Source organism: Homo sapiens, chromosome 12, assembly GCF_000001405.40.
Source record: "Homo sapiens chromosome 12, GRCh38.p14 Primary Assembly".
Classification (NCBI taxonomy): Eukaryota; Metazoa; Chordata; class Mammalia; order Primates; family Hominidae; genus Homo; species Homo sapiens.
The window spans coordinates 82,503,157-82,525,909 of record NC_000012.12 but is presented as its reverse complement, the minus strand read 5'-3'; the positions used below and the strand labels follow the sequence as shown (position 1 = coordinate 82,525,909).

Genomic DNA, 22,753 nt, shown 5'->3' with positions numbered 1-22,753 from the left:
GTTTAGTTAGACATTGGAAGCTTTTGAGTTAGATTTTAATGGCTGCTTAGGGTAGAGAACTAGCTCATGTTAACAAAGTGAATCAGGCTAGAGGTTTTCGGTTGTGGTTCTGCAGACCAGCGCTGGTTTGCCACAATATTTTCACTGGTCCACAGTGAAATTAGAACACTATGATAAATGAAGATAATTTTTCATGAAGCTAAGTACATTAAATTTAAAGACCTGCACTTTGAACTTCAAACTTTTGTACTGTCAATCATCTTTATGAAAAGAAAAATAGAGTAATATTAAAATTGATTTAAAAAATTAAAATTAAAACTGATCTTATTCAGCAAAAGAAAAACTTGACAATGTTTTCAGTCCCATCTCTCATACTTTTGAAATTTTACTTATTTTTAAAATCCTAAAGCCCATAGCCACTGCATTTCAGTCTTCCTCTCTTCTTTCAAAACAAAGATCTTACTCTAATATGTAAGGGATGAATCTTCTGATCTGAGCTTACTCAGGTTGTAAGTACAGTTGGCACAGTACTTAGAAAATTCCTCATTTAACCTGAGGAAAACTGCAAAAAGAACATGTGACTTACCATAATTCCAAAATAGTTATAGAACTGCATTTTGTGGAAAGGATTTTTTTTTTCCTTATAGTTTTTGAGAAACCCTGTGAAATCCACGTGTATATCAGTGGGATTTATCTTTCAGAATTGGGAAGATATGTTTTGTCAGTCATAAATGAACTGTAATCCCCATAGATTCAGGTTTAATTCAAAAACATTCTCTCTAGAGCTGCTAAATTTGGCAACTCACATTCTCCCCTCCATATGCTATCCTTAGAGAATTCTACATATATTGTCCATAATGGTTTCTACTTAGGATGTCTGGAAAAGTAGATATTATGGTCACAGAAGGGCCATTAAAGGGAATTTGAAAACAGATCCATTAAGTTGAAGTATTCAATTGTCAGAGTCTTCAACTTGGATGGACTATGCTAATTGATATTCAAGGAATAACTCCATCTGCCCGCTGCTTATATCATAGCTTCTAACTACTCATGCTTGTATCACTCACTAACCTGGTTTGGTATTCTCCCTGGAGAGAGAATTAGCAGAACACGGTGTGCATAAAAAGTACAGCAGATAAATAATGAATTGTCCCTAAATGTGGACTTCATTTCCATTCCATTCTGTTATTCAGAGCCTTCACTATTTCAAATAGCCATCTTTTTTTCATTAATTACATCAGCTCTGCTTTTGTTATGTCTTGTTGGAAAAGAGAAGAAAGTTTCCATTATTTCTCTTCTAGACTGTGGAATGAAGCAGATGGGGCATTTTGCAAACATTCAATCATATCTTGAAATCTCTGGTCAGTTTTTGAGTGGATTTAAAAAATACTTTTCTGTATTCTTACGCTAGCTTTCCCCAAATTCGTGTTTTTTTCTCTCTCTGCTCGTCTTTTGTGGCCTTATCCTTTTCCCCCAACCTGGCTCTCATTTTCAAACAGTTCTCAAGAGAAACAAAAGTTTCCCAAAGGTTCCCCAACTTGGCTCTGTCTCAGCAATGCAGAACTATTTTTGAGTTTCTCTTTTTTAATTCTAAAGTTGCTTTTCTTCTGTTTAAGTGATTTTTAGGAAACAGTCTCTCCTCTGGTGTGTATACTAGCTGCTCTCTGTTGGACAGCATTTCTGAGGTCCTTGTCATGTGGCACTCAGCTAAAGATTAACTTGTAGTTTTAGCTGCAAGTTTTAGATTAACCTTTCATGGGATGGTCGTCTCAGGAATAGCACAGTGATAATATTTGCTTGAATATGGGCAGTACGTACCCACTTGTTGTCTCATTTGACTCTCACAAGGATCCTGCAAAGCAAAGAAGACTGTTATTATTTTTCCCGTTTTACAGATGAGGAAAATATGGCCCTAAGGAGTTATGTGACTGGTCTAGCAAACTCTGTGTACCAGTAAATTGTGGAACAGAAAGAGGAATGCTGCTCTTCTGTCTTTGGTGTTTTCTCCCAGTGTTTTTCCTGGGACCTCCTTCTTTATCTTTAAGATGAGAAAACAACAACACAAACTGTCTTACTGTTGTTAAGAGGAAAGAGTGAAAGAATTTGGATAAAACAGATTAATGCATGGCAAGAATAATGCATGGCACTTAGTGAATGCTCACCAAATGTTAATTATTATACTTTATGTGTCATATAAATATAACAGATAAATTGGCAGAATGACATACAAATGTAGCTGCTTTCCTTCTGCTCACAAAAGGATATAACAATCTACAAGGGAGAGCTTTTAAGTAGCCATTGACTAAAACCCAAGGATTTTAATATTATGTTTGGTTCCAGTTGAACAGCAGCAACACCCTCCCCACACTGGCTTTACCCTCCCTTTTCTCAAGGAAAAGTAATAGATAGATTGATTCTTCTATACAATGAAACCAGCTAATCCAAACAATATGATGCACAGTCTGGAGAAAAGATTCTGGATTCGTATCATGTCTCAAATTTACAAGCTGTATGGCCACGCTTTGGGCAAATATTTAATCTCTCTGTGCCTCAGTTTTCCTATCTGTAAAATGTGGCTATTAAGGCCTATCAAATAGGTGGTTAAGAGGACTATAATAGGAATCAATATGAGTATAAAGGATGTTTAATTGGAATTCTTGACCATGGCACCAAGATATGATGGATATTGGATATAACAGACGCTCAAAATGAAATTTACAAAGAAAATATTTGGGTCCGTTGCTCTCATGAGCCCCATCCCCAGCTGTCTTTTACCCAGAGCAGGGATATGAAAGGACCAGAAGAGTGGGATTTGGGGAGGATTTATCAAAAGACTTTCTTAGTTGACAGCTGGAGGGGTGTAGTGGTGCTGTCTGCCAGTGCTAGGTCAGGTGAGAGGGGCTTGGCAAGAGCACTGAGAGTATAACAGGTGTTCCTGGGCCTGTGGACTGAGCCCTACCTCAGGATTGAACAAGTAAAACAGCTGATAACAACAGAGCTGAGAGCTGCTCCTGAGAAGTGACTGCACCTGTCTTGTCCAATAGCAGGTTAAAGGTAATTGGATCTCAGGGGCTAGAACTGGTTGTGATGTCAACCTGGAGTTGTTCTTAAAGGGATCCCCTCAAGTGCATGGTCTGCCAGGGAAAGGAGACTGCAGATACAGCGACTATACCAGCCAGGGCAGGAATGCTGGGGAGGACGATGGAGACCCACCAATGCTAAAGGCCTGCCCATGAAAAGGGAGTTACCATTGGAAAGTCTTGAGGGAGTTCCCAGAAATTAAAAGGATCCCATGAGAGAACATGTCAGCATCAAATAACTGCTCCACTCCTTCAGTAGCTCCCTGGAGAATATATCACCGTCTTACGAAAGTACCCATCGGGGAGAAATGTCCTTTGTACCTTACGTCTTTCCATGACCCTTCTTTCTTTTCTGGCTCTCTCCCACTGCAAACAGCTTAACAAAGACAGGCTCTGGCCAATGGAAGTGAGGAGGCAGGAGTGTTTCCACTTTAAATCAGGCTCAAACTTTTGATTATAACACAATCATGGATGTTTTACATTATAAATTAGATTGTGTTTGTGATTTAAAGTGACTGCAGGGCTACCATCTAAGTATAACCAGTGATGTTAGAGGCTGGCTCAAGATTTCATCCAAATAGGGAAAAGAATAGCTCCACCGCACTTTACTAAAGAGAAAAAGGGACAAAAATAGGCTATTTTGTAATAGTTTTCTATAATGCATGTTATATTAGATTTGCGGGCAACTCGGACCCCTCAAGTTATTTTCATAGGAAGTATCCTCACAAGTCAAGTCTTCCTCATCCTGCACTTACTTGTACAGGATGGGATAATTTTTTTTTTTTTTTTTTGAGACAGAGTCTCACTCTGTTGCCCAGGCTGGAGTGCAGTGGTGTGATCTCGGCTCACTGCAAGCTCCGCCTCCTGGGTTCATGCCATTCTCCTGCCTCAGCCTCCTGAGTAGCTGGGACTACAGGCACTCGCCACCATGCCTGGCTAACTTTTTGTATTTTTAGTAGAGATGGGGTTTCACCATGTTAGTCAGGATGGTCTCCATCTCCTGACTTCGTGATCTGCCCACCTTGGCCTCCCAAAGTGCTGGGATTACAGGCGTGAGCCACCATGCCCGGCCAGGATGGGATAAAATTTTAAAATAACCATTTTTTATCTCTCTCTTCACCTTTAGTACTTCTCAGTGGGGATATTCCTTTTGCTTTGTCCCATGGTTTCTAATTAAGATTAATTAGATGAAGAACCTTGAATGTAGTATTTTCTCAAAGCTATTGGTATTCTTTCTTCTTTAATCTGCAGGCCTATGTTCTTACCTAAAAAATAAAAATTTTGAATGAAAAAAATTAAGAAAATTTAAAATATTTAAAATCTCTCACCAAATATAGAATAGACAACCATCAAGTTTCTTCTTGATAACTTTAAGTAGTAACTTACTACTTCTCTAAACTATTGGAAACCTACAGATGCCAGAAAGTTATTTCTTAAACTAAAACAAAATCCATATTCATATAATTTTTATCAATTTGTTCATCTTTTACTCCCCAGAAGAATATATCTCATGCTTAACTGACATTCTATGGTTTTCAGTGTTATCTGTCTTCTACATAGTATTGGAAGACAGTTACATCTTCCTTAGTTGGACACAAGGCCCACATGTAACCTAAGAGCTGAGCCCATTCAGCTGTCATAACACGTATATTAGGTTTGTGTTCAACTCAAACCTATCAAGTTATTTTTATAAGAAAAATCCCACAAGTCAAGTCTTGCTCCTCCTGTACTTATACAGTTGGTTATTGAAAAATAAAAGAAAAAAATGTATCATTTTTGACTCTATTTTGTTGGTTTTATTCTACTGTTCCAGGCTTTTACAAATATTTGGAATCCCCTTTCTGATTCAGAAAAACTGATATTTATTTTTGTATTTATGTATTATTTACTTTTTATTTTAGAGACAGGATCTCGCTGTGTCACCTAGGCTACAGTGCAGTGGTATGATCTCAGCTCATTGAAGCCTTAACCTTCTGGGCTCAAGGAATCCTCCCACCTTAGCCTCCTGAGTAACTGGAACTACAGGTACATGCTACCACATCTGGCTAGTTTAAAAAAAATTGTAGAGACAGGGTCTCACTTGTTGCCCAGGATGGTCTCAAACTCTTGGGCTCAAACAATCCTTCACCTTGGCCTCCCAAAGTGCTGAGATTACAGGCATGGACCACTGCACTCAGCCTAATTTTTATAGTTATTTTTTTCTCTATCCCATCTTTTACCTTTGATAGTTTGTAGGAATTCTTTTAATTCCTCTTTTAAGCCACTGATAAAAAATTTGAACAGGAAAATTATTCTTCAATGAACATCCTTGGATATGTTGATTCTTGTGTATTCTGAGTGGATTTCACCAAGGCATATACTCCCAAAATGAATTACTGTATAAGTTGTGAACATTTTAATTTTTATTAGACATTGATAAATTTCACATTCTTTAAATAAGTTAAATATAAGCAGTATGGTTGCAATTGACTTTTCTTATATGAAGGAGTTGCTGTTCTAAAAATCACTGTCTGTAATGAATGTGCATAATGTGGTCCATGTAATGCATGTGACAATGGCCCATAGTGCCCAACGTGGGAGGAGCAGACTTCAAGGCGCAGATTCCCATGGTGAACCAGTGGTGTCATCATCAGATTGGCTTGTGGCATGATTTTGGCTCTGGTCTGACCTTGTTTCTTTTCACATTCTAAGCCTGGTGTTTCTATCATAAGGTCCTTCTATGAGCTAGCCTTTATTCTTTTAATAAACTCAATTTCTGTTTAAATATGAGGACAGAATTATTTTCTGTTGCTTCCAGCTAAGAGAATATTGTAACTATTTTCCCATCACTACTTAACCTCTCATTTCCATTTTTTCTCCTGACAGTTTCAGGGCAAGACTAACACCTCTGTAAATACCTATATTCATAGATGTTTAGGCACTCCTATGAGCTGAAGACCACTGTCCCAAATAAAACACACTCAGTTCCCTTTTCTTTGAAGGCCCCTGCAGTTTCTTCAGCTAGGAATTTAGCAGTGATGAAAAATGGGGATTCACAGTTCTTCTGAGGTCTACATTCTTTCTTTTTCTTGTTTCTTACTTCTTGTTTCAGTTAGATTTTTTTTCCATGTTTATTGCTTACACAAGCAAAAAACCAGAAATACAGAAATAAGATATCAATGGCAGTACTAAAATTAGCAAATTTGGCAATGATCAATACTTGGAGGAGAGAAGGCTGCACTGTAGCTCTTTTCCTGTTGGGAGTGCACATTATTGGCACCAAAGCTGACCATGAATTCATGAAAATTCACAAAATACAGTGATAAGAATGCATTGTGTGCTTGTTGTCCTGCTGGCCTTAAACTCCTTTCTGGCTCCTTTAGATTGCTTTGCATATTTATACTGTAATCCATTGATTATAGATCTTATAATTTGCTTCTCAAAGAATAATTTTCTTCTACTCCTTAATTTTTATGGGAAGGAATATTATCATTTTTGCTACATGGGTGCATTTGAGGAGCATTTTAAACAGATATTAAATAGTGGTTGAATTGGGACTCTTTCATTAGTTTCTAATAACCTATACCTGAAAAGGCTGAACCTCAGCATTAAGCTACTAAAAAAAAAAAAAAGTATCTTAGGGTCTTTGGTTTCTGTAGAAAGAGTTCTGAGGAAAAGCATCTAACCAGAATATCTGAAGGTAAGCCTTTGGCATAGTTTTTTGTTTTTGTTTTTGTTTTAACAAACTCCTGGATCATTTCAGCACATAGCTGTGATTGGGAATTAATGGCCTAGTAGGTTTGTAACACTGGTGGACTTGAGTGATATTGCCTTCTTGGCATCCCTTTCTCTCTCTCTCTCTCTCCCGGTACAGTCATTCTGATTTCCTTTTGGGAAGCCTCCCCACCCCATCCTCAGCCTGTTGTTCAGAAGGGGCTGACCAGAGGCTAGGGGTTGCAGGGATAGATAACTAGCCCAGGCTTAGCCAATCACTGCATACATTGCCTTTGCCATAATAATTGGTTGAAGGATAAATTTCTGACCTAAGCTAGGCCAGTAAGGCTCAACTGCAACTCTTTTTTAGAACTATGGGGAAAGAAGCATTCCTCCCCCTGAGATTTCACTATAATTATGCACTAGGATCCCATGTTAACGGGGAGTGTTTAATCCCAGGACTTTTCAGAGCCATGATATTTATATGGACAGGAGCCAGGGAAATACCGGGTAGAAGAGGGCAGTCCCTGGTGAGGGCCATACCTTCAAGCCTGGGACTGTGGCCCAAAGTGAGAACATGTATTCCTGTTTTTCCACTCAAATGTTGCCTTATGGCCTTCCCCACACCCCATCCTGTACCCATAAAAACCCCAGGCTTCACTGGCAGAACTGCAGTGTGGCAGAGCGGCAGAGAGGGAGAGATGAGGCAGGCAGACATCAGAGAGAAGCAGCTTGACTTCAAAGGCACAGCTTGATGGCAGGACTTTGGAGAAGAGTTTGGCCGGGGACAGAGGAACTCCAGGGGAAGACTACCTTCCCACTCGATCCACTTTCCAGCTCCCCATCCTGCTGAGAGCCACTTCCACCACTCAATAAAATCCTCCACATTCTCCACTCTTCAATTTGTTTGTGCAACCTGATTCTTCCTGGATACCAGACAAGAACTCAGGTACCAAGAGGGTACATGCAAAAGGATATCACCCTGACCCTCCACTGAGCTATTAAACACTTAAGCCATCCGTGAATGGCAAAGCTAAAAGAGCACATTGTAACACACCCACTCTGGGGCTCCGCAGGTTACAGGTACCCTACAAGATACCACCATGGGGCAGCACAGAGTTATACTCCTGTTGGCACCCAGGAGCACTCGATCTGGCCTCTGCACCTGCTCACCTGCATGCTCCCCCTCCTGTGAAGGCTTGAGAGCTGCAGGCTGAGTAAATGAGCCAACTTCTTCATGAGTCCTGTGAAGAGATCAAGGGAACTATCTCGTTTCAGTGAGTCTTTGTCTATTCGGGCTGCCATAACAAAATACCATAGACTGGATGGCTTAAACAACATAAATTTATTTCTCAACGTAATGGAGGCTGGAAATTTCCTATCATGATGCTGGGAAGGTAGGTTTAATTCTGAGGCCTCTTCTCTTGCCTTGTGGGAAGCTGCCATCTTACTGTGTGCTCACATGCCCTCTTCTTTGTGCATGCTGAGGCAGAGAGAGAGAGTGAACCAAAGTGCAAGCACTTAAGTGAGCCTTCTGGTGTTAGTTCTTATAAGAACACTAATCGTGTCATATTGGGTCTCTACCCTTATTACCTCATTTAACCTTAATTACCTATTTATAAGCCTTATCTACAAATACTGTCTCATTAGGGGTTAGGGCTTCAGCATATAAATTTGGAGGGGACACCATTCAGTCCATAGCATGATAATTCCTTCCCCTCTTTTCTTCCTTAAGGCATTGCACTGAATTTTCATCACTAAATGTGACAGAGGTCCAAATGCTATAGCCACAGTGGTTGACCACCATACTTAATTCATTCTATTCTGTCCTCATGTGTCTGTTTGCCTTCCTAAGCAGACCAGTGCAATGGGACCAACAAGCCATTAGGATGGAAAAGGCCATCTAGTGGTGGTTCAAAGCAAGGCCTCTGGAGTCTGGCTGCCTGGGTTTGAATTCCAGCTCTGCCATTTACTTAGCCTCCCTCTGTGGGAATGAACCCACCTGCAAAATGGTATGTACACAAGTCTCTACCTTGGGAATCATTATGATGATCTGATGCATTAATATTTATAAAGTACCTAGAATAATTGCTGGCACTCTGCTGTAATAATTTTGCTCCACAGATCTGAGTTAAATCTCTACTTGTGCTCTTATTAGTATATGACTACGTAAGCTAACTTTTCCAAGCTTCTTTTTTCTACTGAGTAAAAAGAGGATGAGTAATCATTTTGGGCAATAGTACATATAAGTTTACTAGCACACGTCCTGCCATAGTAAACACTCAATAAATGATGTGTGAACAAATGAACAAATTGCAATTAGAGAATGAAGTTCTCCTTTTTGTCTAAAAATTTTTACTTTAAATTTAAGCATATTTAATTTTGGGTGCTTAATAGATTTATTAGATTGATCTATTTTTTTTTTACTTTAGAAAGCATGAGTCACCTAATGCTCATATATAATTACATAGAAATGACAATTGTGCCCAAATGAGACAGAATAATTTAGTTGAGCATTTGATAATCGTGCTCTCCACAACTCTTATGAAATCTGTTGTTAAAAAATATGAGGGCAAAGTGAAAGCCTAACATGAGCTGTGTAATTAGCAATTATTTGGATGGATTAGTTTTCTGAGAAACTTTCTGTAATGGAACAAATCATGGCCTATGAAAATTATACTCTGTGTATTGAAAATAAAGACCAAAATAGCAGAATGGATTGCCTCTTTCTGACTTATTTAGTCAAAGCAAGGCTTATTCTAAGTCAGGACTCTACTTGACGTTAGATGAGCTTTATATAAATATAACTCCCCTTTAGCAAAAAAATATGATGATGAAGTTATTTTGCAGGTGAATTCACATTATAAGTAAGTTAAATCTTTCTACTTTGCCTGAGTCTGTGAGTGTTAGAAGCTGAGTTCTCTTTCTTATCAGGGAAATGGATGTGTGTACCAAATAGACTATAAAGGATGAGGTTTTGTTCCCAATTGCACTTACAATTTTTCTATTTAAAAATAATTACTATAAAAGTTAATAAAGATGTGTTTAAAGAAAAAGTTAAATGCTTTTTTATCCCCCACCACTTCCCTATCTGGTCTTAACTGCCCGAGGTAACCAATATTATCCATGTATTTCCTTTTTTCATGAAAATGAAATTGTATTGTAAACTTTATTCTGCATTTTGCTTTTTTTGTTGTTGTTGTTATCAGTATGTGATGGACATCCCTCCCCGAGGGCAGTACATGTAGCTAAACACATTCTTTTACATACAGACATCATAATTTATGTAATTATGCACCACAATTTATTCACCAGGACAAAGTTATTTTCAGAGTTTATTTTACTTTTTGCCACCACAAAGAATGTCACTAAACATGCACATATTCCCACATTGATGAAAACATGAAATAGGATTTCTCTAATGTACAGTGATTTTAGGGTAAGTTCAAGGTGCTGTCACATTCCTTAAACATAGTAGAAGAAAATAATGACCTTTGTCTACAAGAAATTTTGATAATAAAAATAAGAGAATGTGAAGAGTAAATTTAAGTAATTTAAGACAAAAGTGATCATATTCATATTTGCAGTGTGGTACTTGTTATAACCAACCTTAATAAATCATTTTTAGATCTGTGAGGAGGGCCATAAAGTCTCCACACTTGGGTAGTTTCTTAAAGTGTGGTCCCTAGAGCCACACTGGTAGGGATCACACGCATGTTCACAGCACAGATTCCATTGCCCCACCACCCAGAGATTTTTATTCAATGGGTTTGGAGTGGGGCCCAGGTAGCTTCACTGTTCAACAAAAATCCCCAGGTGGAATTCCTGGGTGAAATCTTCCACCTGTTTTTTATAGCCCAGAGCTGAGAATGGTTTTTACATTTTTAAAAGGTTGAAAAAAAATCAAAAGAAGAATAATATTTAATGACATGTGAAAATTATATGCAATTCAAATTTCAGTGTCTATAAATAAAGTGTTATTGGAACACAGCCACACCTATTCATTCCATATAACCCATGGCTTCTTTTGCATTGCACCAGCAGAGTTGAGTAGTTGCCACAGAGACAATATGGCCACAAAGCCAAAATATTTACAGTCTGGTCCCATACAGAAAAAGCTTGCCAACTCCTGGACTAGATGATCTCTAAGGTCGCAGTCCTGAATTTCTGAATGTTATCTTATTCACTGTAGTTATTTACCTCCTTCAATATGTGCAAATACATCTCCAGGCCCTAAAACTGATGCAGACTGATGGAAGTGCTGAGTGTGGGTGAAGGTCAGATACCCTTGGGACAAGTTTCTTTCTACCAGTCACTTACAAATTAGGAGGTGACATGAGCAACACAGAATAAGTGAAATGTTAGTATAATCAGAAAATAAATGAGGACTGCAACAGTGAACACTTACATGGTACATTGTATTTACCAGGCACTATCTTCAGTGCTTTCCACACATTAACTCATGTAATTCTTTTGACAACTCTATGATATAGGTACTATTTTTATCCCCTATTTATGGTTGAGGAATGTGAGGCATAGAGAGGTCAAGAAACTTGCCCCAGGTCATATACTTAGAAGTAGCATAATTATAATTGTAGGTAATCGTAATAAGGGTAAAAATTGTATCTGAATTCCATTTGAAAGTCAGGGGAGGAGGACACCACAATTTGATGAACATGTATCACCTTATTACACATGGTCACAAGGTCAAATATCTTCAGGGCCCATTAGGAGCATCAATGGGTTAAGAACACAGCCTCTCAAACTATAGTTCCTTTTCTTACTTTTGATAGCACCATGGAAACGGAACTTCTTCACTGTAAGAAAACAGCTGCTTAAGGAGTGATGATAACTGGTAGTTGCCAGGTAGGGAAACTCTGGTGTGGTGGGTGCTGTGTATGTAGCTGGGAAGCACATGCCCCAGGGAAAAGGGGCCTGCTACTCATCTCTACTTTTTTAATGACATGCAGAAATGAGAGTAATTTAGATTCCTGTAGCATAATCTGCCAATATTCAAGAATTCAGAAATTAATTCAAATATGAAAAACAAATAAAATCCATTGTCTGTGTCTAACAAAATAGGACTACAGGCCACCAGTGTGTAACCCATGGTTTAGCAATTTTCTTTAGGCTAAATCACCTCTATTCCAAACCTTTCCATACAGCTCTCTAGGCCCAGACTTTAATCAGAAACATGGCTGCCTCCAGGAACTGGTGCCAAGCTTTACAGTCATCTTCAGTTGATGAGCATTACAAAATTACTTTCAGAAGCTGGAGTCCTACCTGGAAGAGAGTTATGCTAAGATCAAGGCTAATATCCTCTTCATATTTATTACAAGAAATGCCTGCTTTATATTATGTTAGAGTTGACAATCTTTACCAGGACTGGCAGCATTGATAAGTGCTTCCCCTTAACTGAAAAACATATTTTCATAGCTTTTCCAGGAATATCTTGGTGTTTTTGTTTTGTTTTGTTTTGTTTTTTTGAGACAAGAGTCTTGCTCTTGTCACCCAGGATGGAGTACAGTGGCATGATCTAGGCTCACTGGAACCTCCTCCTCCTGGGTTCAGGCAATTCTCCTGCCTCAGCCTCCCAAGTAGCTGGGACTACAGACGCCTGCCACCACGCTCGGCTAATTTTTGTATTTTTAGTAGAGACAGAGTTTCGCCATGTTAGCCAGGCTGGTCTCGAACTCCTAACCTCAGGTAATCTGCCTGCCTTGGTCTCTTAAAGTGCTGGGATTACAGGCATAAACCACTGCATCCCGCCTATCTTGGTGTTTTTAATTACACCATAATCCATTTTCTTAGTTAATCTTCAATCATATAATGCTTATTTCATTGACTATAATAGCTCATGCACATTCACTAATGGCCCTAGAATACAATACTGTTCTTTTTTTAATTTGAAAGTGCTTCAGAGCAGAGTATAAAACGAGGAAAAGAACATAACACAAAAATGCCAGTTATTTAGGTGAAGCGAAAAAAATTTTTCAAGTACTGTAAACTGGAGTGATAAATCATTATGAAAATAATTTAAAAACATTCATCATTCTGACAGTCTGAAATAGCATTTAAACTGTTCAAACATTTTACTAAAAGTCTACCTAAAGAACTTTTCAGATTCTATAGGAAACAATTTTTTAATACAACAATATTTTAAAATATTTTCCTTGGGCATCTATTCAGAAAAGTAGTGCCTCAAATGGAATTTTAAAATCAATCAAAATGTATTGCTCAAATTTGACATTTATGTATTTTGGTTAGAGTTCATGGACTCTGCACAAAGTAAGCATTATTTTGAATACTTTCAGTTACTTTAATATATAGTATTATAAATAAGGGACAAGTTGTCTTCGGAAGCCTTCCTGAGAGTTTGGAGTGTGAAAAACATGGTATTTTGGCACTCAAAAGCAATACTCAGATGAACACTGTTGCATTAAATGCTTATATAGAAGCACAAACAAGACACTGAATTAAAAAATGTGGAACCTTATAAAACATCCATTTTTTTAAAAAATCACAAAACACTATATACAATGTGGTATTCTGAATTAGGTCATGAAAGAGAAAGAAGACATTAATGGAAAACTGTTGAAATCCAAATAAAGTCTGGAGTTAAGTTAATATGGTAATAATCCAATGTTTCTTTTTTACTTTTGACACACACGCTGTGGGAATGTAAGGTGTAACATTAGAGAAAACTGGGGTAAGAGGTATATGAGAACTCTTTTTCCTACTTTTCTGTAAGTCTAAAATTATCTTGAAGTAAAAAGTATATTTAAAATATATAAAACAATTTGTAAGAATATTAATCTGTGCCTTAAAGCATTCAACAGAATAGAGTAAGCTGATAAAATTCACATGCCATTAAGTACCATTTATGTATATACATGCAGGTTGTGTGTGTATTGTTGGGGGATAAATGAGGGTGTATGAGCAGACTTAACACGCTTAGACGTTTTCCTCAGTTGTTACTCCTGATGCTCAAAAGTTAAAAGCACACATATGAAGGTGGGAAGTGGGTTCCTAAACATTTTATTAATAAAATGCATATGAATAGTTCTGTCTAAAATAAGAATGTAAATATATATACACAATAAATACACACACACATATATATATATATATATATATATATATATGCTTCCCAGGAATTCCTTTCTTTAGCACTATTTTTTAAAAAGATAGGTTACCAGTGAACAACTTTCAACTTTTGTTTCTTTGTGTGTGCTTGATTTTTTAAAAAAAGTTTTGTGCCTCTGTGGTAACTTCAAACATATACCAATAAAAATGATTATAGTTTGTTTCCAAACTCTAAGCAATACAACTCTGTACTAAGTTCTATCTCTTCATCGAATCAAATGCATTGTGGTAGGTTTTCCTTTTGCTCTGCAGAACAGAGCCATTGATGAGGTACAGTAGACATACGTCAGCATGTTGAAATGAAATTAGTAGGTCTGTTGTCAGGCAGGTCACCACAGGCCAACACACTGCAACAACCAGAAAAAGGCAAATAAACCACAAATAAACACATTTTTAAAGATATCAGAGTAAGAAAACAGAACGAACAAAAATTCCAAGGAAAGGAGAATCACTCTGAAACAAGCTGGCAATTTTTGGTTGTCATTTTCCCTAGTGGCTGAGGATTGATCTTAACCCAGCAGGGAGCTTCTGCTGGGGGAAAGGAGATGCTGGCAAAATTTTGAGCTTTCCTGTGGGGCTGATAGACTCAGTAAGAAAACTGAGGGGCCTCAATGACATAAGATATGGTGGAAATGCAAGTAGAAACTGTGCCAAACAACATTTGGATGTGGTGAGACCTCAAGAATCAGTATTAGGACATACTGATCTAACTGACGAAGATTCCATGTAGAAACAAAGGGTGGTGTAGGTACTAGACAGCCTAATGCATCTATATTATCACCTCTTATGGCCTCAGCAGCAGACTGTGTCCGTCTTCCACCTCTGCACCAACACCAATTCCTGTGTCAAGTTTCCAACAAATGGAAATCATCGGAAGAGTACCGCCAAGTTCAGTGGTGATGGTATTGTGTGAGCGAGTTGGAGCCTAGCCCCTTCCTAAAGATGAAGGAGGAAGATGGAGGATGCACAGGATAAAAGAATCTACGAATTTATCATCAGATGCTTAGAAGTTCCATGTTCCACAAGGAAAATGTACACCAGTGGTCAAAATCCCTTATGACTTCTCCCCAGATGACAGCAAGACCTTATTACTGTGGAAGGGCTTCAATCCTGTAAATTAAATGGCTATCACTTTTTTTTTCTCAATAAAGATAAACTGAGGACATTTACCTTGAGGGCACCAGAAGCTAATTTATATGTAAAAAGCTGTATTAAAGAACAACAGTAGCAGCTCTATGCTACGAATTGTGCAAAAGTGATCAAAAAGCAGTGCTGCAGCTAGCAATTCAGAGGCAGAATCTTTTTTTCTTGATGGACTCAGTCATTACTTTTTTTTATTTGGTTTTAAATTCCAATATTCTTGGCATCATTCCAACATGCATTGTTCTAAGAAAATATAAAGGGAATGTCAAATTATAATTTCTTGGAACACTTAATTTGTCACCAGGAAAGAACAATGTAACTCTGAGACAGTAGAAGGATTTACTTCTGGGCCTGTTAATTTTAGTGAAACTGAAGAATAAACATTCAATGTTATGACCTTGGGAAATATTTCATTCTCTTTATTTCATCCTCATCTTGATATATAAATGCCATAATTAACAGTTTGGGGTTTATTTATTGCAACAAAGCAGATATGTGGCACATGATTTAATCTCTAAAAGCAATTTCAATTTGGCCTATTTGTCATTTAGGGCGTGTGCCCAATTTAAAATGATTTCTGCTTGCTCAAGTCTCTCTTACACACACATGCTCAGTGATCAAATATTTAGATTTATATAAAGTTCTTGACACTAACAATAAAAAGGCAGCATTTAAGTAAACTGCAAAATGCCAGAAAGGCCTAAGAAACTCAAATATAATATTGAGGAACATTGCTAGTATAGGGATCATGGAGAATATATTTTTATTTTGCTTTGCTGACTATATGTACTGAGTTTTCATAAATAAAAAGAAGTCATGTGTCCTAAAAAAAGTCTGTCAAAGTTGGCTGGTTTTATGTGCATCACAATATTTTATTTAATGAGGAACTCAATTTGAATTTTGATTAAAGCAATTAATAGAAAGTACGGGCCCTATTAGGAGTAATCTGTGGCAAGTTTTTCTGATTACAAGGAAACATTCAATTCATACATTTTTATTCTTACAAAAGATTCTAGATAAAGAAAAGTAAAAGAAAATTATAAATATCAACAAATATTATTTTTTCAAACATCATTTTTATCATTAGATGTACCATTATTTCAGATTTATAGAACAGATGGTTTATGAGAACATTATACATCTGAACATTAATCCATTAAAAATATTAGCTGGATTCATTAATGTATACAGCATCTTTTTCACGTAGATCAGTTGGAAAGTTTAAAATAAACAGCACTTGGCACATATTAAAACATAATATTAGTTGCAGATAATTTTTAGGGTCAAGTTAATTTTTAGGCTGGTTTAGTTTTCCCTGCACATCTTCTACATTTCCTTCGTTGTACTTGTCAAATTATAACAATTGAATAATTGTCTAATTTTTGATATGTCTTTTCTGTTATGTTTTGAACCCCAGGAGAGTTGGAACTGTTTCTCTGTTCACTAAGCTTAATATTTAGGCCACTGCTTAAAAGATAGAGGCGCTCAATAAAGATGTGCTTAATGAATATAGGATTGAATGATCTATACCACGAGTAGGCAAATTATGGCTCGAATCCAGCCTATTGCCTGTTTTTTACAGCCTTCATGTGAAGAATGGTTTTTCCATATTTGAATGGGTTGATTTTTTCACATGGTTAAATAAGTACCTAAATGATAGATTCAATTTTGCCTCTTGTCCCATAAATCCTAAAATATTTACTATCTAATACTTTAAGAAAAGGTTTTCTGACCCTGGACTAGACAAGCAGTAAGTAATACAACGGCTGTGATGATAAAAATATTCTATATTTGTGCTGAGCAATAGGATAGCCACAAACCACATGTGGCTATTGAGCACATGAAATTTATCTAGGATCACCACACTTTTAATTTAATTTTAATTAATTTCAATAATTCTATGTGGCCAGTAGCTAGTGTGTCAGACATCAGCAGATCTAGATATGTAAAAGAATAGCTTCATGTAAAGACAGTAAACAATTACCTGAAGCTCAACTCTGTACAAGGAAAAATGTAAAAATATGTGCTAACTTGGTAGTTAGTTGGTCTTTCTCGCAATAAAAAAAATTGGAAATAACTAAACTATCTACCACCAGTTCATTAAAACAACTAATGTTATGACAAAATGTTGAAAAGGCCTAAAGGTAAGAATTAGTTCATTTAATTTGACAGTTACACAGGAACTCATTTAAAATAAGCAGTGGCTTTTCATTCCATAAACTGTACATGAGAAACAATTGTTTTGGATAAGGCGGATAATGTTAATGTTTTATTAACAAATAAATGAAAGAAATTTCCTTTATGAAGATTTTAACATTTTTCTTTGCATTATTGATTCAAATATCAATTATTTGCAAGGAAATTCTTAAAACACGTAGAGTCCTTATTGATTTAAATATCAATTATTTGCAAGGAAATTCTTAAAACACATAGAGTCCTATTAAAAGAAAGTGTGCTATGTAATGCAGTAGGCAAATATTAGAGCACATAAACATGCTAAAACAGTGCTATAATCTAGTAGTCTCCCCAAATCGTTAGAATTAATGCAGGTATTAAAATGAACTGAGAAGTAAAGATTCAAATTGAAGAGTGAAGTTTACAACACCCACAACCACATATGATTTCAAGTCTTTAAGATGATAAGCACTTAAAGGGAATTCTGAAGTATGTGCTATTTAGGATTGAAATTGTTTGGTGCTATTATTTACAACAAAGTAAGTAAAAAAGGGAACATTAGAATATATTTCCTTTTCATGCTTACACTGTTTCTGACATGTCTATGTATGAAATAATATCTTCCCAAGTAAAACTACTTTGGCTGCACTCTTTTATTTCAAATGATTTTATCATTAGGGAAAAATTTGAAATCATGGCGGACAAATAATCCCTTAATGCTCTTCTTGGCTAGCAAGTAATTTATCAAAGCAATCCAATTTCCAAATAGCATACAAACTCAGTAAGTTGCTGAGCCAATGCATCTGTTCCTCTCAGTATTTAGAGCATGAACAAATGCCTTTCCTTTGGGCGGGGGGAAAACCTGAGCTTGAATTCTCTAAAAGGGCAAGTTAGCTTTAGTAACACTAATAACTAGTAACTCATAATTTCTCTCTGATAAAACTTTAAGATTAAAAAAAACTCAGGCTTTATTGAAAAATAATTTACATGCAGTAATACTGACCCCTTTTAAGTATACAGTTCAGTGAGTTTTAACAAACATACAAGTTGTATATCTACAACCAAAATTAAGATTTGGGATATTTTCAATCACTGCAGAAAATTCCCGCATGTTTCTTTGTAGACAATGCCTCTCTTCCCTCACAGTCCACAGGCAACCAGTGATATGTTTTCTGTTTCCACAGTTTTTCTAGAATGTCATATAAATGAACCATATAACATGTAGTCTATTGTGCCTGGCTTATTTTACTTAGCCACTTAGTATAATGAGATTTTGAAATTCACCCGTGTTGTTGCATATATTGGTAGTTTGTCCATTTTTGCTGCTTAGCTGTATTCCATTGTATGAATATACCACAATATTTTTAGCCATTTTCCTGTTAATGGAATTTTGGCTACTGTGAATAAAACAACTATTAACATTTGCTGTGTGAACATATGTTTTCATTCCTCTTGAGTAAATATCTATGAGTGGAATTGTTGGGTCATAGGGTAAGTATATGTTTAACTTTATAAAAGTCTGTCACATTGTTCTCCAAAATAACCCTATTGTTCATATTCCCATCCACAACATATTAGTGCTCTGGTTGTTCTGTATTGTCTCCAATGATTAATGTTATCAATTCTTTTAATTTTAACCATTCTATTGGCAGTATAGTGATATCTCTTTGTACTTTTGATTTCTATTTCCCCTGATGACTAATGATATTGTGTATTTTTCCATGTGTTTATTGGCCATCTGTACATCTTCATTGATGGACATTTGTTCCAACTCTTTGCCTTTCTTTTTACTGAGTTGAATGTTTTGTTATTTATGTATTCTGCATGCAAGTTATCAGGTGCGTGCTTTGCAGTTTTTCTTTTATCAATGTGTGGCCTGTATTTCATTTTCTTAACAGTTCTTTTGAAGTGCAGACATTTACAATTTTGACTAAGTCCAATTTGTCAATTTTTTGGCTTATGGTTTGTGTTTTTGTGTCCTGAGAAAGATTTTCTTAACCAAAGGTCACAAAGATTTTCTACATTTTCGTCAAGAAATACTTTAGTTTGTCATATTACGTATTTTACTATGTATTTGAAACATTGTCAGAGAAGAAGTATAAAGGCATTTCCAGACTGTCAAAAGGTCCATGGTCCAGAAATAGTTTAGCTATGCCATTTTTATTCCCATTTTCCAGGCCTACTACTCCTTAGGTTGTCCTTTACCCTGGGAAGTACATTACAATATCTTTAATGCTTCCATTTTGAATATTGCATTATAACCAGCTTTGCCTTATCTTATATAGTTTAGTTCAATAAACCTTAATTGAATGAGAATCTCCATGTCAGAACCTGGAGATTCAAAGATGAATCAGATGATTTCTATCTATGAAGAATTCATATCCAATATTGTAGGTAGATACATAAATAGGCCATGGTACTATAATGTTTATGTGATCCAATAATCACATATGAGAGTGACCTAGATGATGTTCTTACCCCTATCTTAGGTGGTGGTAGAGGTGTGGGCAGAATATCAGGAAATGCTTCCCTCAGGAATTGATGTGCATGAGGAATCCTGGAGAATAAGAAGGCATGAAGTAGAGATGAAAGAGAATGTTTCACACAAAGGAAACATATGCAAGCATCAACTCAACTCTATGCCTACAGTTCTGGGGCAGAAGAACTGCCAAGGGAGAAATTATGCATTGCCTGCCCCCAGTTCCCTCAGGATACATTACATTAAGGAAGAAATCATTCTCAAAATGTGGAAGCCAAAGCAAACTCCCATTCTTGACTAGAATATTCAGCTTGCCATTTACCATTCCATTCTGAGAGGCAAAAGTTCTTTCTCTCAGTCCCTTTTCCCCAGAAACTGTGAGAAGGTGCAGAGTTGTTGGATGAAGAAGCCCGTTCATCAAGGGCTCCTCCCTGTTTCCTGTGCTCTTTCTCAACCCAAACTCAGTGTGCCTCCTTGGCCTTAGCAGTTTCCTTCACTCCTGGACTGATGGGTGGCACATGATTGTGCACTTAAATACCACAGTACAAACGGGAGGAACACCTGGCTAATAACTCACAGCCCCAATTTCTCATTCAGTACCTTAGCCCATGTAACCCAGACTAGCTAGAGCAGTGAAGGTCCTCTCTCATCCTTGATTACATGCATCATTTATTACATCCTAAACAGAGATGATTACATTCCAATTTCAACTGTCCTTAAAACATTTCTTTAGGCTCACAGAAACATCAGCAGCAGCTTTTCCTCAGCTAATTAGAGACTAATTGACTCTTTAGCACTGTTATCAGCTGTGACAGAGCCCTTCCTGCCTCCTGTCTGCCAGCGTACTTGGGACCATGCCTCTGTGAAGGACTTCAATTTCTCTTTACAAGAATCAACGTGGAGCAAACTCCAGTTGCCTACTGCCTAGCATTCTTGCTAAGATACGTATGTAAATAAAATGTCTTTATATACCTGAGAATTTATCTATGTAGTTCAAGAATTGTCTTCTTTGCTTAGTTATCCTACCTTTGAAGGTTTCTGCTTCCAATTGTTGAGGTGATGTTACATCTTTCTGAGGAAGAAGATGATACCCTTTTTTGTCCTCCGTAAAAAAGCTTTGTGTGGTGTGGGGTGTGTGTGTGTGTGTCTGTGTGAGCATTTTGAATTATGACCACTGCATTTCATGACTTCACTTACCTTGAATTATTCTTTTCTCTCAGAGGATGGACTAATTTATTTTCTCCATAGAGGATCAGTGTGTTAATTTCCTTCCTTTCCTCCAAAGCATATTCTGAATGCTTTCACTGCTAGGCATAGGACAAACAGTTAAAATGATATATTTTCTGCTCCTCCAGGTCAAATAGAGGGATGCAAAAGTTTTAAAATTAAGTGTAATAAAGTGCTATCGATGTTGTCATAGGCATCTGTACAGAGTATAGTTGGGACATAATAAAAAGATAGCGATTTCCTGTGGAGGCAGGATCATAAATATTAAAGGACAACATAGGAAAGTGTTGACAGGAAGAGAGAGGGAAGTTAGCTTTCCTGGAAGGGAGACTAGGGAGAGCAAAGTCCAGATGGAGGGAACAACTTGAGATGTTGTGGGAGTCACAGAAAGTCTGGATAACTTGAAACCTGGGGTTAGATGGAGTGCAGCAAAATATTATGTTGATGAAATAGCCAGGGGAAGCCTCATGGAGGATTTGAATGCCATGCGAAAATGTTGAGGGTTTCCTGTAAGAACATCGGATGGCCACAGAAGAGTTATGAGCAGGGTTAGGATACTGATGCCAGGAAACTAAAAGGGCAGCTCAGAGGCCCTGAGCTTAGACAGTAGCAGTGGGACTGGAAGAAGAGGGAGTCAAAAGAAATGAAAAAGGTAGAATGAATATAACAATGTTTAAGTGAATTAAAAGGAGAGAGCTTCCTAGGATGATTTTTGGTTTTCAGCTGAGGGTTTCCTTCACCAAAAAGAAGTACTAAAAAAAAGGGAAGTTTTGACAGGGAAGTTCCATTTTAGATAATTTCATTTTGAGGGCTAGTAAAATGTATTTGGGGAGCGGCAATATTCACCAGGCATCTGGATAAGCAGGACTCGAACTCAGGAGAGAGATCCTAGAAATTAATATCTGGGCCTCATCAGTATATTGGCAGTATGGGAAGCCATGGCCATGCCCCTTGGAAAGAGAATAGGTTGAAGAAAGCCCAAGGTCAGAGCTCTGAATGAAGAAGACTAATATTTAAAGGAAAAATAGAGAAGAATCTGCAAAGAAGGCTGGGAGACAATAGACAGTGAATGGAAAGGAAAAACCATAGGAATAGTGGTTCTTTGGCTTCCAGAAAGCAACTCAGGTATCAGGTGTTCCCTCTACCTCCTTGGATCTTATGACATTTCTGTCTTTCCGTCTGTATTGCCTTAATCTCTCCTCTCTCATGATCTCTTCATATATAGTTGTTAATTCCCCATAACATTGGCTTCACATGGTCAAACACTGTCTCTGGAGTTTCTTTATATACTGTGACCTTTCAGCTTCTATCCCCATGTTGTTTCTTCCCTCTCCCTTCTGCCATTTCCCCTCTCCCCTCTCCTCTCCTCTCTTCTCTTCTTTTGATGGAATCTCGCTCATGGTGCTCCACACCTGTAATCCAAGCACTTTGGGAGGCCGAGGTGGGCAGATCACCTGAGTTCAGGAGTTGGAGACCAGCCTGGCCAACATGGTGAAGCCCCGTCTCTACTAAAAATACAAAAATTAGCCAGGTGTGTTGGTGCGTGCCTGTAATCCCAGCTACTTAGGAGGCTGAGGCAGGAGAATCACTGGAACTGGGGAGGCGTAGATTGCAGTGAGCCAAGATTGTGCCACTACACTGCAGCCTGGGCGACAGAGTGAGACTCCAGCTCAAACAACAACAACAACAACAACAAAACAAAACAAACCCTAAAAACAGAATAACAATATTATCCAGCAATCCTATTATCCTATTTCTGGATATATATCCAAAGGAAATGAAATCAGTACATAGAAGAGACACCTGAATT

The 22,753-nt window shown here is 37.3% G+C and overlaps 1 long non-coding RNA gene across 1 annotated transcript; it reads right to left on the bottom strand.

Annotated features, from left to right (window-relative positions):
- Positions 1–10,095: 10,095 nt before the first annotated feature.
- On the bottom strand, positions 10,096–21,615 carry LOC107987180 (uncharacterized). The gene is made up of 3 exons (XR_001749233.2): positions 20,914–21,615; positions 14,701–19,794; positions 10,096–14,266 (listed from the first exon to the last, which is right to left on the bottom strand). It is a non-coding gene; the product is annotated as an uncharacterized LOC107987180 (long non-coding RNA).
- Between the last annotated feature and the right edge of the window lie 1,138 nt (positions 21,616–22,753).